The 18918-nt window shown below is 37.4% G+C and overlaps 1 protein-coding gene across 3 annotated transcripts in view; it reads right to left on the reverse strand.

Moving 5' to 3' along the window:
* C12orf42 (chromosome 12 open reading frame 42) overlaps positions 1-18918 on the reverse strand; it is a 516167-nt gene that overhangs the window by 85031 nt on the left and 412218 nt on the right. The gene's annotated exons all lie outside the window — the stretch shown is intronic.

Consider the following 18918-nt stretch of genomic DNA (forward strand, 5'->3'; position numbering starts at 1 on the left):
CCTGCAGTCACCACCAAGGTTGGCTGCTACCTTCAGAGCTGAAGCATGAACCATTAGTAAAGATTTCATTGCCTTCAGCAGTGTAGCCACTGCATGTTTTCATGTGCACCAAGGACAAACTCACCCACCCACAGCAGCCACCGCTACCGCAGCTGGGGCCAAAGCTCAAATGAAGTACACATTCCCCGAAACGTCTGGCATAAGTCTGTTGCCACTGAAAGGAGCCCCACCCTCCCCAGTAGCAGAGCTGCTCAGCTGCTACTGCCACTACCTAAGCATTTAGCCTTGGGCCTGAGGCTCACCTTCCCCTGCCTACCATAGTAAGTGCCTGCATGTACACCTGGGGGCCTCAGGACAGGTCTGACTGGGCTGGCTTTGCCCTTTTCTCCCCATTCTCCAGTGCTTGAGTGGGGACTGGGTGCCTGGGGACTGTTCAGCCCAGTACACCACTGTTAGCACCTGAGCATTCCCTTCAGGGACCTGAGGTTAGGCTCATCCAACCTGCTACTACCACCACAGCGGGCTCCCATCTGTAGGCACAACCTAAGGGCCTAGGGACTGGCCTGCTCAACCCATCACAACCACTTCTAACACCAACATTTGGGATCCAGAGGTTAGTCACTCCACTGCTACTGCCATCACCCATGACACACCCACTTCCCAGAAGCTTAAGAACCCACCCACCTACCCAGTCCACTATTGTTACTACTGGCACCTAAGCAAGCTGCCAGGAGCCCAAAAATCTATCCCCTTGGACTCACTAACACCAATGCCAACTTATGAAACCTGTTGCCCAAGAACAGGCATGCTCATCTCACTGCTGTCACTACTGGGGCCCAAGGACTCACCTGGCATCCCTGTCTCTAGCAAAACTTCACCACTGCCTCCATTAACAACCATACCCCAAGCCACTGAAAAAACAAAACAAACAAACAAAAACCACAGATACCACTGACATTGTTTACAGCCAAAGAAATCATATGAAGACTACACTATTGCACACAGCCAGAATCAAAGTCAAAGTACCCAACTGATATGGCTTGGCTGCATCCCCATCCAAATCCCATCTTGAATGGTAGTTTCCGTAATCCCCACGTGTGGTGGAAGGGATGCTGTGGGAGGTAATTGAATCATGGGGGCAGTTTCCTCCATGCTATTCTCATGATAGTGAGTGAGCTCTCATGAGATCTGATGGTTTTATAAGGGGCTTCCCCCTTCACTCACCTCTCTTCTCTTTCCTGCTGTCATGTGAAGAATAATGTGTTTGCTTCCCCTTCTGCCATGATTGTACATCTCCTGAGGTCTGCCCAGCCCTGTGGAACTGTGAGTCAATTAAACCTCTTTCCTTTATGAATTACCCAGTCTCAAGTATGTCTTTATTAGTAGCATGAGAATGAACTAATGCACTGACCCAACCAACACTATAAATATCATAGATACCTCTTCAGGAAAACATTCTTGCCCATGAAGACAAATTTTAAAAATTGAAAGAAGTGACTGTTATACCTGAGTGCCAATATCAGTGTAAGGACACAAAAAACTTGAAAAATCAAGGAAACATGACACTTCCATAGGAATACAATAGTTCTCCAGCAACAGATTCCTAACAAAAAGAAATTTATGGAGTCCCAAGTAAAAAGTTTAAAATATTGATATTAAAGAAACTCAGTTTAATACTGGAGAATACAGGAAAAATAATACCAAGAGATTAGAAAAATAATTAAGGATAAGAATGATGAATTTATCAAAGAGCTAGATACCATAAAAAGGAACCAAGAGTCATTCTAGAACTGAAAAATTCATTAAACGAAATACAAAATACATGTAAAATCTTCAACAATAGTGTAGATCAAGCAGAAGAAAGAATTTCAGAACTTAAAGACAGGTATTTGGAAATAGCTCAGTCAGACAAAAATAAAGAAAAAAGAATTAAGAAGAATGAAAAAAGCCTATAAGACATATGAGACACCATAAAGTGATCAAATAATCAAAATTTTGCCATCCCAGAAGGTGAAGAGAAAAGCATTAGAAAACCTATTTAAGAAAAGAGTAGCTGAAGACTTCCCAAGTCTAGAAATACATTTAGACATCCAGACACAGGAAATCCAGAGAACCTCAAATAGATAAATGCAAAAACTTCTTCTCCATGGCAAATGATAGACAGACTGTCAAAAGCCAAAGACAAGGAGGAAATTCTAAAAACATGAAGAAAAGTGTCTAGTTATTTGTGAGGACACCCCCATCATGCTAACAGGGTATTTCTCAGCAGAAACCTTATAGGTCATGAGAGAATGGGATGACATATTCCAAAAGCTAAAAAACAAAACAAAACAAATAAAAAAAATAAAACACTGCTAGCCAAGGGTGCTATATGCAGCAAAATTATCCTTCATTAATTAAGGAGAAATAAAGTCTTTCCTAGACAAGCAAAAACTTAAGGGACAATACGTATCATCATGAAAACACACAAAAGTATACAACCTACTGGTAGATCAAACACACAATTAAGAAAGAGAAAGGCTGGGCAGGTTTGCTCATGCCTGTAATCCCAGCACTGTTGAAGATAGACGCAGGTGGATCACTGGAGCTCAGGAGTTTGAGACCAGCCTGGGCAACATGGCAAAATCCTATCTCTACTAAAAATACAAAGAAAATTAGCCGGGCATGGTGGCAGGTGTCTGTAGTCCCAGCTACTCAGGAGGCTGAAGTGGGAGGATGGCTTCAGCCCCAAAGCGGAGGTTGCAGTGAGCCGAAATTGATCCACTCCACTCCAATGTAGGCAACAGAGTGAGACACTATCTCAAAAAGAAAAAAAGAAAAAGAAAAAGAAAGAGAAAGGACTCAAATGTTACCATCATAGATGTTACCACAGTGATTAACAATGAGACAAAGAAGGAACAAAGGAGATACAAAACAACCATGAATCAACTGATAGACTGACAAGAATAAACTCTCACATATCAATAACAATTTTGAATGTAAACATAGAGGTGAAAATGCTCAACAAAATACTAGCAAACTGAATCTAACAGTACATCAAACAAATAATAGACCATGACCAAGGGGGATTTATCTTAAAAATGCAAGAATGGTTCAACATATGCAAATAAATAAATGTAATACCTGATATCAATAGCATGAGAGACAAAGAACGTATGGTTATTGCAACAGACACAGTAAGACCATTTGATAAAATTCAACATCTCTTCATGATAAAAACTCTCAACAAACTAGACATTGGTGGAACATACTTTAGCATAATAAGGGCCATGTATGACAAACCCACAGCTAACATCATACTAAATGTGGAAATACTGAAAGTCTTTCCTCTAAGATCTGACACAAGACAAGAGACTCACTCTTATTTGACATAGTATTAGAAGTCCTGGCCAGAGCAATCAGTCAAGAGGCAAAAATAAAACCATCCAAATTGGGAAAGAGGAAGTCAAATTATTCCTCTTTGCAGTGAACATAATCTTCTATCTAGAAAAACCTACAGACTTCACAAAAAAACCTCTTAGGTCTGATAATAAATTCAGCAAGTTGCAGGATACAAAACCAATATACAAAATCGGTAGCATTTCTATGCACCAATAACAAACTAGCTGAAAAAGAAATAAAGAAAGCTATATAAAATATAACATGCCTGGGAATTAATTTAACCAAGGGTATAAAAAACCTCCATAGAAAAAAACTACAAAACACTGATGAAATTGAAGGGGACACAAACAAATCAAAAGACATTCTATGCTCATGGATTGGGATAATTAATATCTTCCATATTAATTGAAAGTGATCACACTGCCCATGGCAATCTATAGATTCAATGCAATTCCTATCAAAATACAAATATAATTTTTCACAGAAATAGAAAAACAGTCCTAAAATGTATACGGAACCATAAAATAACCTAAATGGTCAAAGCAATTCTGAGCAAAATAAAAAAGCTGGAAGCATCAGACTACCTGACTTCAATATATTACAAGCTATAGTAACCAAAACAGCAAGATATTTGTATAAAAACAGACACATCAAACAATGGAACAGAGTACACAATCCAGAAACAAATCCATATGTTTACAGTCAACCACTTTTTGACAAAGGTGTCAACCTCATACATTGGGGAAAGGACACCCTCTCTTCAATTAGTTGTTGTGGGAAAATTGGATTGCCATATGCAAAATGATAAAACTGAACCCCTATCTCTCACCACTTAGAAAAATAAATGAAAGATAGATTAAAGACTTAATTGTAAGACCCAAAACTATAAAGCTACTAAAAGTAAACATGGGGAAAACACCCCAGGACACTGGTCTAGGCAAAGATGAGGGCCTCAAGAGCACAGGCAACAAAAGCAAAAATAGACAAATAGAGCTATATTAAACTAAAAAGCTGCTGCACAGCAAAGGAAACAATCAAGAGAGTTAAGAAACAACCTGTTGAATGGAATAAAATATTTGCAAACTATTCATTCAAGGAACTAATATTCAAAATATATGAGGAATTCAAACAACTCAACAGTAAAAACATAAATAATACCATTTAAAGTGGGCAAAGGACATGAATAGACATTTCTCCAAAGAAGACATACAAATGGCCAACACATATATGAAAATATGCTCAATATCAGTAACCAGGGAAACGCAGATCAAAACCACAGCGAGATATCATCCCATTCCTACTTAGAATGGCTATTTTTAAAAAGAAAAAAAAAAAACAGACGCTGGCAAGGATGTCAGGAAAGGGGAACTCAGAGTGTTGATGGGAATGTAAATCATACAGCCACTGTGGAAACAGTAAGATTTCTAAAAAAAAACTAAAAATAGAACTACCATACAATCCTTCAGTCTCACTACTGGACATTTATCCAAAGGAAAAGAAATTCACATATCACATATCAAAGAGATACTGGCATTCCCATGTTTATCACAGCACTATTCACAATAGCAAAGACATGAAATCAACCTAAGTATCCATCAAAAGATAAACGGATAAAGAAAATGTGGTATACATACAGAATGGAATACTAGTCATCCATAAAACATAGAAATCATGTCATTTTCAGTAACATGGATGGAACTGGAGGGCGTTGTGTTCATTGAAATAAGCCACGCAGAGAAAGACAAATACTGCATGTTCTCACTCAGATGTAGGAGTTAAATAGTTGATCTCTTGGAGGTAGAGAGTAGAATGATAGACATGAGAGGCCAGGCAGGGTGTGTGGGGGTGGGGGCATAAAGGAGGTTGGTTATGGGTACAAACATAAAGTTAGATTGAAGGAATTAGTTCTCATGTTTGATAGCAGAGTATAATAACTATAGTTAACAACAATGTATTGTATATTTCAAAATAGCTAGAAAGGAAGACTTGAAATGATCCCAACACATAGAAATAATAAATAATTGAAGTGATGGACATCCCCAAAACCCTGACTTGATCATTATGCAGTCAGTACATTTAACAAAATGTCACATATGTAACCTATAAATATGTACAGATATTTGTATCAACTAAAAAAATCCCTTTCTGAGATGCTCACTAGAAATTCTTTCTCTGGAAGCTGCATGATATGGTTTGGCTCTGTATCCCCACCCAAATCTCATGTTGAAGTGTAATCCCCACAGACAGGGGAGGGGACTGGTGGAAGGTGGTTGGATCATGAGGGCGGATTTCCTCCTTGCTGTTCTTGTGATAGTGAGTGAGTTCTCACAAGATCTGGTTGCTTGAAAGTGTGTAGCTCTTCTCCCTTTGCTCGCTCGCTCTCTCCTGCTGCCATGTGAAGACATGCTTGCTTCCCCTTCACCTTCTGTCATGATTGTAAGTTTCTTGAGGCCTCCTAGCCATGTTTCTTCTATAGTCTGTGGAATTTTGAGTCAATTAAACCTCTTTTCTTCAAAAATAACCCAGTCTCAGGTAGTTCTTTACAGCAGTGTGAGAATGCACTAATACACTATATAATCCCTGGTAGAAAACCAGTCAGAAACCAAAATTTCTGCACTTTCTGAGAAATCAATGTCATCATTCTTGTTCTCACTTCAGTTTCACTTTCAGCTGATGTCCTGGCACACCCCTGGAGCCAATCAGACTGCCTCTTTCCTTTGACCCTTCCAAGCCACTTCACGCTCCACTTTGCCTTGCTCACCCTCTGGCCTCTCTCTTGCATCCACACATCCCCTGCTATCCTTTCACAATTTTATTCTTCAAGATTCATCTCAAAATCAAACTTCTCTACAGTGTTAACCCTCTACCTTAGTAGAATTCTTATTTCCCCTACCATCAATATCATGCAGTTTAGCACCATCATGTATCTGTATTGTTCTCGATGGTGTCATATAAGTTTATCTGGTAGATTTTCAGCTTTACAAGAACAGTGCCCTTGTCTTGTGTTTTCTTTTCATTCCCCACAGAATCCAGCACTAAGTATCATAATTGAATATCATACTTTACTAACAAACAAAAAGAAATAATACCAAAGTGGAAATGAGACCTTCTAGCCCAAGCTCTGCCCTTTATCCACTGCATGACCTGAAGTGTTCACTTCTCTAGCCCTCATTTTCTTTATCAATAAAGCGCATTATTAAACCAGATTATAATAATAATTATTGTTATTGGATACTATTTTCCAGACATGTAGATGTCATATAAATTCCTTTCATTTTAAAACAATGTTATTCAGTAAATTGAAAGACTGACTTTTGATTTCACCATTCATATTATTCCAGGTTAAAAAGTAACTTCAGAGTTCTTGTTCTGGATGTTCCAGATGGAAGCTTGAGCACAGACAGAATCATCCCTATTCTTCTGCTTCTCTCACAGACATGATTAAAGACAGTATTTCAAGATATTGATTTATGTGTGGCTGGCTCAAAAAGAAGAGCAAAAAGGGGGCCAAAAGTAAAAGCAAAAAGACCAAAAAAAATTATGACGTATGTATCTCTTTAAAAAAGAAAGAAAGAAAGAAAGAAAGAAGCAGCATCAATACACAGAAAACTCAGAAATGAATATAGGCTGACTTTGAGGTCCAGAGAACGCTGGAGATGGCACTGGGTGGTACTGGAGGGCTTAGGGGCTGAGTCTGTGCAGCTTCTTCTGTAATGGTCATTATTTAAAGAGACAATACAGACAATGCATATGCAGTGCTTGCAGGTTAAAATAAAACGTAAACATGGGGTTAAAAAAAGGAGAAAAGGCAAATATGCCCAAAATATTTTCTAGTGGTGGTACTGTGAAAAATAGCTATTTTTCTTCTTTGTCCATTTATGTACTTTTTAAGTTAAAATACAGACAAATAACTACCACCCCATCTCCTCATCTCATTGCTCTGTAGGTCTCTCCTTATGCCCTGAAATAATCGCCAAAGTACAAACAATCTGAGTGCTCAGCCCAACCTCGAGGTGGCTAAAGAACTAAAAACCAGGGCCTCAGGAATCAAATCTGAAACAGAAACAGTGGCCTCTTCCTGGTTGTCACTGGAATTGTCCTTGGCAAGATCGGGGTGTCATCTTTATGGCTCCTTGGTCTCTTCCTCCATGGAATTCTTATACAACAATACACACATTTTATAATTAAAAGCTAAAAACACACTGGCTTCTGTTTTTGAGTCATTTCATTGTTTTGATACCTTGTGGCAGGGCAGAGATGAATGAAAGACAGGCTGACCTAATCTAGTCTAAATATTCAGACCCCGGGAAGGGAATCCTCCTCAGCAGAATGCCAACCTATGTCTCTTAATTGCCTCAGCTCCTGATAGATTGGCTCTTACGCTCTTTGAATTCCTTTGTTGTGGAGGAGTTAAAATTCATGAGCGTCCCATGCCTGGGAATACTTACTCCAGTGCTGCTATTTTCCTGAGCCAAGCTGGCCAACACCGCAAAAGAGTCGGAGGTCTGTTGGGCCATCTGTTACATAATAGTCAACAATCTCAAAAATCTAAGGAAACAGGGAGGGGGAGAGCAAAGATGATGAAGCATTTAAACAGAACAGATTGCTGCCTTACTTACAAGACAAAAAGGGAGAGATGATATGCTTTGATTGAGGCAGAGACAAGCTTTATTAGCATAGGGAACAAAACAAACTTTAAAAAAATGGCACCAATAAAGCTGAAAGTCTAAAGAGGCTTGGTGACAAACCCCATGTTGAATTGCAGGCCACAGAGGCCCCAAATGTGATTGGGAGACACACACACACAGACACACACACACACACCATACAATGTACGCATTGCACACAGACATGCAACATCCCTGATGTATGAGTGAAACCACTGAAAAATTGCTGCTGTATTTAAAAGCTAAATATAAGCCTGCACTAGAATATCAAATTTTGCAGACCTGGGAAAAGCACTTTGCCTTAACCATCTTCCAAGTAAATACCTTCAGCATAAGGTGAAAGGAGTCAAGGCCTACTTTGACTATACAAAGCCCAGGCCTTTCCATTTGCCTAGCAGACTCTCAAGCTCCCTGATTTAGCCACCTGTAATCTTTACTAAACACAGTTCAGTTTTTAGCAGTGACCTATAACATTTGACCTGAACAATACTGTTTCTAAAGGAGCGGAATAAAACTGGAGGTAACAAAGAATTAGAAAAGAAAAGAGAGATTGGGGACAATTAGGGTGAGAGAAGAAATAGTGAAAGAAAGATAAGAAAATCTGGGAGATACATGTCAGTAAAGAACCCCAAATATAAGGCAATAATAAAGTGTCTTAAAAACCAGCTAGTTGGCAAACAAATATTAAGAGTTAAATATTAAACTCTATTTAATGACATGCAGGCTGAAATGTTTAAGAAGCCGAATGATATAAGCAACTGACTTTGAAATTCACCAAAAAGTGAAATGGATTGATGAATGGATAAAGGATCGATAAATAATAACACTTTTTTTTTTTTTTTTTGAGACAGAGTTTTGCTCTTGTAGCCCAAGGCAGAGTGCAGTGGCGGGATCTCGGCTCACTGCAACCTCTGCCTCCCAGTTTCAAACGATTCTCCTGCCTCGGCCTCCCAAGTAGCTGGGATTACAGGCGTCCACCACCACACCCAGCTAATTTTTGTATTTTTAGTAGAAACGGGGTTTCACCATGTTGGCCAGGCTGGTCTGGAACTCCTGACCTCAAATGATCCGCCTGCTTCAGCCTCCCAAATTGCTGGGATTACAGGCATGAGCCACCGCACCCAGCCATAATAAAACAATTATAGATAAATGTTCACTGTAGAATCTAGGTGGTGAGTAGATACTATGCACCATAAAATTATTTCGTCTTATCTGTATTTTGAAATTTTCTGTAATAAAATGTTGGGGAAAGATAAATGAACATTGAGACTCCCAAAATTAAAATAGAATGAACACAAATTAAAAAAACATAGAAACTAAAAACATCCTAGACATTTAAAAATGTCTAGGTATCCCTTTCATTTCTGTTTTCCTTTTACATGACATTGTCTCCAGATATGTAACTCAATGAAAGAAGCTGGTTAAAGGATGTGATTATCAAGTTTGAGTGACTAGTTTTGCTGTTGTTATTTCATTGATGTTATTTTGAAGTTGTTGTCTCTAGTGAACTAAAATTAATGAGATTGTTAAAGTCATAATTTGGTAAAAATTTTGCCCAAAGTAGATTTTACTGTCACTTTCTTCCAAATGGACTCTCTCTGAGATGAACAACACAAATTCTTAATTCCTTCTCACAACTCACAAGCTGCTTCTTACAGATAACCACTTAAAAACAGAACAGAACAAAGAACAGTTTACAAACCCATATATTTCAGGGTGCTAATTTGGAATGGTTTTGGAATGTTTTACCCCAGTCAAATTAGTTTTATCTGGTTTATTTCTCTTGCAAATCTTCAGTGGATCTACATAACTAAATTTGGTAGACTTAATTTTCACTGAGGACTGACCCCAAAGTTAAGTGCATCAGAGAGAGAGAGAGAAAAGAGAGTGACAGCTTCATTTTACCCACCTCTTTGAACTAAACTATAAAATGACAGTTTTTATTCTGTGATTGGAGAAATCAGACAGGAAAAGGAAATGCAGGGGGATAGCAGTCACTGTTAAAGGAAATCTAAAACCTCCATGTGAATTTCTCTATATGTCTCAAAGAGGGCTTTATCTCCATACTCAAGGCATTTTACATATAACTCAACTTGTGCAGCAAACTACCTTTTTCAGTAATAACTAACAGTAAAAATATAAACATATATATTTTAATCAAGTCCACCTAGAGTGTCCAAGACAAGTTTTTAATCATAAGGCATTGAATTTCAAAGAAAACATATGCAATTCTATTTAATATACAAAACTGCATTGTGGGGAAGCCTCACAGCTCAAAACATGATCACACAAAGGGGGCAAGGTTGGAGGCTGGGGTTAGTTTAAAAATATCTGTCTCTGAGCAGCACGTTTTACACTGGAACGTGACAGGCAAAAAGGTTATTGTCTGCAAGTTTTCACCTCAGGGAATAACTAGAAAGGGGAAAAAATGGGAAAGTACTTAAGCAACTTTCTGCCTTTGAAAAAGCAAGTGCAGAATAGTAGACACTGTGGGGTGTCCTCTTTTCTAAGCCAGCGACAGCATTTCCAATACCCTGACCCATGAAAGGAGGCGTTGGGAGTTCAATGCTCACTAAATGGCTGGTTTGGAATCTAGAATTGGAAAATTAGTGGGTAGAAGTAGAAATAATTTATAAAAGCAAAATCTGGCAGAGGATCTGGAGGAGGCCAGGCTCCCTGACTGGTAGTTTATCTTCGGTAGCATTCCTAGTCTTTGTCACTCTTTCCTCTTTGCTCAGGTCATACCTCAGTTCTGAGGAGTCAGGGGGTTCTAGCAACCCAGGACTGTAGAAACTCACAAAACCAAGAAAACTCCTCTACTGTGGGTGTCAGAAACTTGCTTCCCCACCCCCATTGCTGGGATTGTTTTTGCAGACTCATGGCAGACTTTTAAGGCCTCAATCCATTTATGTGAGAGGAATGAAAAGTCACCTCTCATTTTAAGAGTACATCCAAAGGCTGCATAGTTCTAAGAAGTGTCTACAGAGTCTTTCTCTAATAGGAGAACAAGACTTTGAAGAATCTATCTAATGAAATCACAGGACTGTTTGGGGAAATTTTACTTAATTGTAATCTGTGAAACACAAACAAACCAAACACTGATTAAGAGCCAGATGGCCTGAGTATTAATCCCAGCTCTGCCATTTACTATTTATGTACAATTGAACTGGATTTTTATATCTCTAGTCTCAGCTTTCCCATTTGCAAAATGGGGATAATAATACTATACTACGACTGCTGCTAATCATCATTATTATTATCACAGGGTTATTTATGGTAAGGATCAAATAACATAACATAGCATATACCATAGTGCATCACAGATATTAAGTGTTTAATAATTACTTAATAACTTCATTTCCCTATGTTTATCATTATTATTATCTTCCAGGTCTGAAAGAAAATATAAACTTGGGAGATGCCTATTTATGGGGAGACTCTTAGTTAAAGAGTCTTGGACAAGTACTTTTGTAGCTTGGCTTGAAATGCTTTACAGTAAGTTACTTTGGCTTCATTCTGTTAATAGAAAAAAAGAAGTCAGAGGAAAAAGAGGAGACGAGGAGAAAAAAGGTAAAAGAAAAAGAAGTCAGAGGAAAAAGAGGAGATGAGGAGAAAAAAGGTAAAAGAGTGCATTTGTAGGCAACCTTGGCTGTGAATACAAAGCCTCTTTATCGCTCCAGAGGCTACTTGCAGTCACCTTAGCAAGACTGAGGAAAGTCCCATGGTGTTTTCCATCCATAAGCTATATTTGAAATGCATGAGGTAAGTCCCTTAATGAAAAATGAGATATCGTAGAGGCAGAGAGTACAGTTTTCTGATGCCGCCGTGGGCTAGGCAAAGTAGGTGCTGGTATCAGCTTTCATCACTGCAAGGCAGTAAGAAAACTCTTCCAAAATGGATTTATTATACTTGAGAGTTGAGCTTTAATAGCGTCCTTGTAAATGATGCTAAAAAGAAGCTTTTTATGGGTGATATAATCTTGATGGGGGGAGGAGAAATTACTTAGAATTCACAACTTAAAACAATCACATCATCCATTTGTATGTAGCTGGAGTTGGCTGCTGGCCACGGAAAACGACTTGGGCAACTTAAGCAGAAAGGGATTTTGGGGAAGGGTATAGATACTGCTTGGGATGACTAGGCTTAGAATGAGCAAAAACCATGGAAACTCTGGAGGGCTAAACCATTGCTGCTTGAGAGGCATAATTGACAACCATCTTTTATATCATTGTGTCCTTCCCTCAAGATTCAAAATCCCAGGAAAGCATATCTGATTGGCAAAGTCCTAGTCATGTGATCTACCCTGGATATATTGGGGCTGTCCTGTCTTCAGTAGACATCATCTTTTCCCATGACTACACACAATGAGGGATTATCTAGAAAAGCAATCAGGATGCTATAAGGGTTAGTATTGAATATTGGAGAGTCCCCGTCTCCCCAAAAAACTCAAACTTTTATACTGTACTTTTTAAAGCATTTCGAACTGTTTAGATTTTAACTCTGTTATTTCTAATTATGGCTACTATCTTTCCCACATTTAAAATAATCCTATTCTTACTCCACAAAGGTAATTCTTAAGAGTTCTGACTTTTCTAGTTCCAGTTCCAGTTCAGTTGCCCTTTGTCAATCTCAAAGAGCCCTTTAGAGAAAAAGTAGAGATACTCATGGCCATTGACAGAGATGTTACAGTTCAGGCTCACCTTCATCACTTTGAAAAAGATGAACTAAAATTATTTTTTCTATGAAATTGACCAACATAAAAATAGAATGATAACAAGTGGTGGTGAGGGTTTAGCAAATCACTCTCATACATTATTGGTAGAAGATTAAATTGATACAGCCTATGCCATGAGCAATTTGACATTACGTATCAAAAGCCTTAAAATGTTCACATCCTCTAACTTATTAACATCATCTCTAGAAATTTGCCATAAAGGGAAAAAATAGTGTAAACACAAAGATGTTATGAAAATGTTTATTACAACATTGTATATAATTGTGAAAAATTAGAAACCACAAAAATATTCAACAAAAGTGAACTGGATGAATAAACTATGGTACATCAAAATGATGAAATACTTTGCAATCATTGAAAGATGTTATGGAATTGTGTTTGTTAACATTATAGATATGTAAAATATGTTGTTGAACAGAAAAAAAACAGAGTCCAAACAATATGTAAAGTATGGTGACCTTTTGATTTAAAAACATGGATATAGAGTTTGTGTGAATTTTCGTATACATATATATATAGAGAGAGAGAGAGAAAGAGAGAAAGAGAGAGAGGGAGAAAACCATCTGGGAGGTTATACATCAAAATGCTAATGCTAATCTAGAGTGGCAAGATTATGGGTGGTTTTTATGCTTTTACTTGTGTTTTCTGTTTTTTTTGTCTTTATGTAATACATACTACAATAATATATATCTCCATACATATTATGTAATTAAAACATAATAAAAGTTATTTATAAGGTTTTTTACATTAAGAAAACATAGGGCTGGGCGTGGTGGCTCATGCCTGTAATCCCAGCACTTTAGGAGGCCAAGGCGGGTGGATCACTTGAGGTCAGGAGTTTGAGACCAGCCTCACCAACATGTGAAACCCTGTCTTTATTAAAAATACAAAAATGAGCTGGGTGTGGTGATGCATGCCTGTAATCCCAGCTACTGGGGAGACTGAGGTGGGAGGATCCCTTGAACCAGGGAAGTGAAGGTTGCAATGAGCTGAGATCATGCCACTGCACTCCAGCCTGGCCAACAGAGTGAGACCCTGTCTCAAAAAAAAAAAAAAAGAAAGAAAGAGAAAAGAAAGAGAAAGAAAGAAAGAAAAGAAAGAAAGAAAGAGAAATAAAGAAAGAAAAGAAAGAAAGAAAGAAAGAAAGAAAGAAAGAAAGAAAGAAAGAAAGAAAAAGAAAAGTAAACACAGGTTAACATAAATGAGCATGTGGAGGCAAAACCAATGTCACAGATAATATATCAGAAAATGTGTGCATTACAGTAAGTTGTGCTTTTTAACAATTGAAAACAACCTTATATTTTTATGAGACAAAGAACAATGTTATTTCGTATATCTTTTTTCACAATATGAGGCTAGCACATTTTTCCCCAAAGATTATCTACCAATTGTGGTTTGCATAAACCACTGGGTAATGGGAAATGGGGAGCTTCATTTGGCCATGGGAAGAAGATGAGAAAACTCCTGCATTTTGACAAAATAACAGAAAGCCTACTTAGGTACCAAGAATGCTTCAGCCTGAAGGCCACTGAGGCATGGCCCATGGAAGAACTCAGTAGATAAAGCAGCAAGAAAAATGGTCCAGACCCTCATTTCTATAAGGGCAATGTAGGCTCATGGAGCATACTTAAGAAGGCCCGTAAGTATACAAAAGATACATTCACGTATAGAAGCTCAGGATTAACATTGTAAACTTTTTATTTAAATTAAGCCTTTATAGTAGCTTTTACAGACAAGGAGGCCTATAAAAATGCAGGAAAAAAGCACTAATATATTTCTCTGTGCTGTGGTTAAAATTAAGTCTCGAAGGAGGAAAACAACCTAGTTTTTTCCCCTTATTTTGGCTTCTAGTTTTCATTTTTCTAAGCAATTATTTTCTAATTCAGTTGCCTAGTAAGAATTTTCAGGTCAAAAATGAAGAAAGGTACTTTGTAAAATGAAGAACTAGCATTATGTCAAATTAAAGTTTGGCCCTTTGCAGTGAATGAAGCATTTTCTATACAGAAATCCACGGCTGTGACACAGAGGTTAATTTTTTTTAATTTTTCTTTTTTTCTTTTTTTTTCTTTTTTTTTTTTTTTTTGGTTCTTTCTGATGAAACTTCTGTCTCTTTTTTTCCTGCTGGTTGTTATTGTGTCTCAGAATTGAATGTGACCCACAGTACTTTGCCACTTCTTCTCTCTCTCTTTTTTTTTTTTTTTTTTGTAATGTACGACAGTAACTACTACACAAAGTTTGCTCTGTAAAGCCGCAATTGTGTGAGGCTGGTGTTCACTTGGAATGTTGGTACAGTATATGTCACCGTGTACAGGTCCCTGGTCCCCTTTTCTATCTTGGCTTTGAAAAACCTTGTTCAACCATTACAAGAAAGAACAAAATGCCCAGAAACATGGGAGAAAAGATTGCAGAGAAAGTCTGTTTACCCAAGACACATGGACCAGCAGCAGTCAAGATAGCCTAACCAACTTTGTGGTTTAACTTTTCTTAAAGTAGAAACCACAGGACAAAGCTCATGGAAAACAATAAGAGAAATAAATGTTGGTAGCATCCCCTCCCTTTTTTATTAGTCATACAGAAGAGAACCATTGAATTTTAGAAGGACAAGTACAGATGGTAGAATCATATCTTTTTCTATATATTATTGATGAGTGACAATAAGTCAGATGGAAAAATGAATTCACTCCATTCAATAAAAGCAAACAATGCAGATTTCTGGAATTGGATCCTCACTGTGGTGTGACAGAACCATGGTCAAGTTTATGTGTGGGTCTACTAGAAGTCCAACTATTTTAGGTTCTTACAATTAAAAGGCCTTACTAATTAATAAAGATCACTATTATATTTCTCACTCTATGATTCTATCAAGAGTCAAGCCCTTAAATTTGACTTCGGTGTTACCAATCTCAGACCAAAGTATGTTTTGCTTTCATTCAAGCCACCCCCATAGTTCTAATTACATTTTAAAAATGCCTAATTTATAACCTTGATTTATTATGGTCTAGCTTGGCCCACACTATACTGATCTTTTTTGATGGTTAGACTTACATCATGATGGTCTAGTTCAATTTCTTCCTTTAGTGCTATTTATTGTTCCCTGAGTCTCTGGACCATGGAGTGAGCAGATGCTAAACCAAGTTCATCCTAACTAATGGATTTGCTAGCAGATGTAAATCATAGTGCTCGTTTGAGTAAAATGTAATATCTTAGAATAAAACCAATAAATAAATTGGCATTAGTTTAATATTACTCCAATATTTCTTTAATTGTCTCTATAATGTAACACATTTAAACACCTAACTGTGGAATAATTTACTTAATCCATGTGGAAAGTGAAACTATTACCTACTCTGGTGAATTAAGTGTTATTAAAAAATCATGCTCAATCTTGAACCTGTTAAAATTAAGACTAGAGAAACTCTAGAACAAGCTCCCTGAGATGTATATGCATCCAGAAAATTATTTGCCCATTATAACTCATGAAGGAATTTGTATATTATAACATGTCTTGATACAAATTTATATTAAGACTGCAAATCTGTAGAGTTGGACTAGTCAGTGTATAATCCTTTATTCTTGTTGATCCTGAAAATCAAGTTGTCTTTGTAGAGGGTCAGGTGGCCCACATACCCAACTACTTGATACCTAAATATTTACTTGTCTTCAGAAATCTATTTTGGGGTCCAATGGAAGCAAAACCATTTTCAAAGACTGGGATTAAATTGCATCCTCCTCTCGTTGATTTTCAAAAAAATTCCCCTGCTCAGAATTAGTTCTCTGTAAGTAGCATAACAAAAATTTTTATTCTAAATTTGGGACCATAAAATGTGGTGATTCTTAAACTGTGCTTCCACAGAACATTGTATGATAAAGGTTGCCCCAAGAGGTTCTACCACTAAAAGTAATATATTTAGGGTTACCAGTTTAGCAAGTAAAAATGCAGGACACCCAGTTAGATTTGAATTTCTGATAAACAATGATTTTTTTTAGTATAAAGAAATATAAGTATGTCCCTTTGCCTTCTGTAAATGTCCAAGAACTAACCTAGTGATATGGTTTGTGTCCCCACCCAAATCTTATCTTAAATTGCAATCCCAGGTGTTAAGTGAGACACTTGGTGGGAGGTGATTGGATTATGGGGGCGGTTTCCCCCATGTTGCTCTCATGATAGTGAGTGAGTTCTCATGAGATCTGATGGTTTTATAAGCATCTGGCATTTCCCCTTCTCGCACTTCTCCCTCCTGCCACCATGTGAGAAGGTCCAAGCTTGCTCCCCTTTGCTTTCTGCCATGATTGTAAGTTTCCTGATGCCTCCGCAGCCAAGTGGAATTGTAAGTCAAACCTACTCCCTTTATAAATTACCCAGTCTTGGGTATTTCTTTATAGCAGTGTGAAAAAGGATTAATACACCTAGTCATAAAATTAAGATTTCATTTTTTTATTCACTCTATGTTCCTTGATTGAAGAAGCATCTTTAAGGTTTAAATTAGTAAGTCTGGGAATGTTATAACTCACAGATGTATCAATGAAATATTGCTCATTATTTTTTATAACATCCTTCCCCTATATGATAGCTTATTTTCCCACCCATATTAAAATTTTCCAGTTAGCTCAAATCTAGGAAATTTATATAAGTATATTTTGCAGGATGAATTGTTAAACCAAAAATTTCAGGTATATATATGCTCCTAAAATTTAAGATTATGCCATAAGTTAATAAATCTCTGTCACTGCTGATATTTGGGGATTGATTTATTTTTTAATTTGAAAATTTAGTAGAGAGTATTGAGTACCTGGTTTATGTTAGGCACTAGGGATACAAATATAAAGTAACATCCCCTCCATCAGGAATCTCACAATTAAATAGGCAAAAGCAGAAACAGCTATGTGTAAGAAAGTGTCAACGATGCTATAAAACTTCAGAAACATCCACACAAATTTGATACTTGTGTTAAGAATACATATTCTAGAAAACTGAAGCACTTCTGAAAGTGATTAGGTAAAGCATTTTTAAAATTAGCTTTTATTGACTGCACACCATAGGCTAGCCACTGTGCTAATTTAGGTTAATCCATAATATAATGAATCCTTATAATTCTGTGACATAGACAATGTTATTATTCCTTTTTCAGATGAGGAAACTGAGGCAGAGTGAAGCAGAATCACTTATTCCAGTACATGCATCTACTAAAGGGTGGCCCAAGAGATTCCTGCTATGAATAGAAGAAACCAGGATATAGGATTGAGTCAAAGTGACCTGTAGTTTTTGTTTCTACTGAGAAAATTCACTTATGGATCAGAGCCTCTATTTCTAATATAAAAAAATACTGGAATGATCAGAATATTGTTGGAGCAATTCCCGACTATATCTGAGTTCTTCTCTTTTGGACTGACTCATATACATATATTTTTCATCATCACCATTTTGCTCAAGAAAATTCTCATAGATTACAGCCTTAACCTGTATATGAAGATTTCCTCAGCATCAATTAAAACATCGGAAGGGAGTGTATCTGTTTTTTTGAGATGGAGTCTCACTCTGTCACCCAGGCTGGAGTGCTTGGCTCACTGCAACCTTCACCTCCCAGGTTCAAGCGATTCTCCTGCCTCAGCACCCTGAGTAGCTGGGATTAGAGGTGCACGCCACCACGACTGACTAATTTTTGTATTTTTAGTAGAGATGGGGGTTTCACCATGTTGGTCAGGCTGGTCTCGAACTCCTGACCTCGTGATCTGCCTGCCTCGGCCTCCCAAAGTGCTGGCATTACAGGCGTGAGCCACCACACCCAACCAGGAGTGTATCTTTCAAAGTGATTAACACTGGAAGACACCCAGATGGCTTCACCAATGAATTAATTCACACATTTAAGAATGAGATAATATCAATTCTGCACAAACTCTTTCAGAGTATATATATACATATAGAAAGAATACTTTCCAGCACCTTAGGAGGCCTAAATAGCTTCAATTATAAAACTCAACAAGAACATTTCAAGAAAGAAAAATTACAGATCAATATATTTTATACAAATAGGTATAAAATTATTTTAAAATTAAGTTCAAATATATAAACTGCCATTTATAGTTCAAGTATGGTAAAATGTCAGCAATCTCACATGGTTCAAATCAACATAGCAA

This window comes from Homo sapiens, chromosome 12, assembly GCF_000001405.40.
Source record: "Homo sapiens chromosome 12, GRCh38.p14 Primary Assembly".
Lineage (NCBI taxonomy): Eukaryota > Metazoa > Chordata > Mammalia > Primates > Hominidae > Homo > Homo sapiens.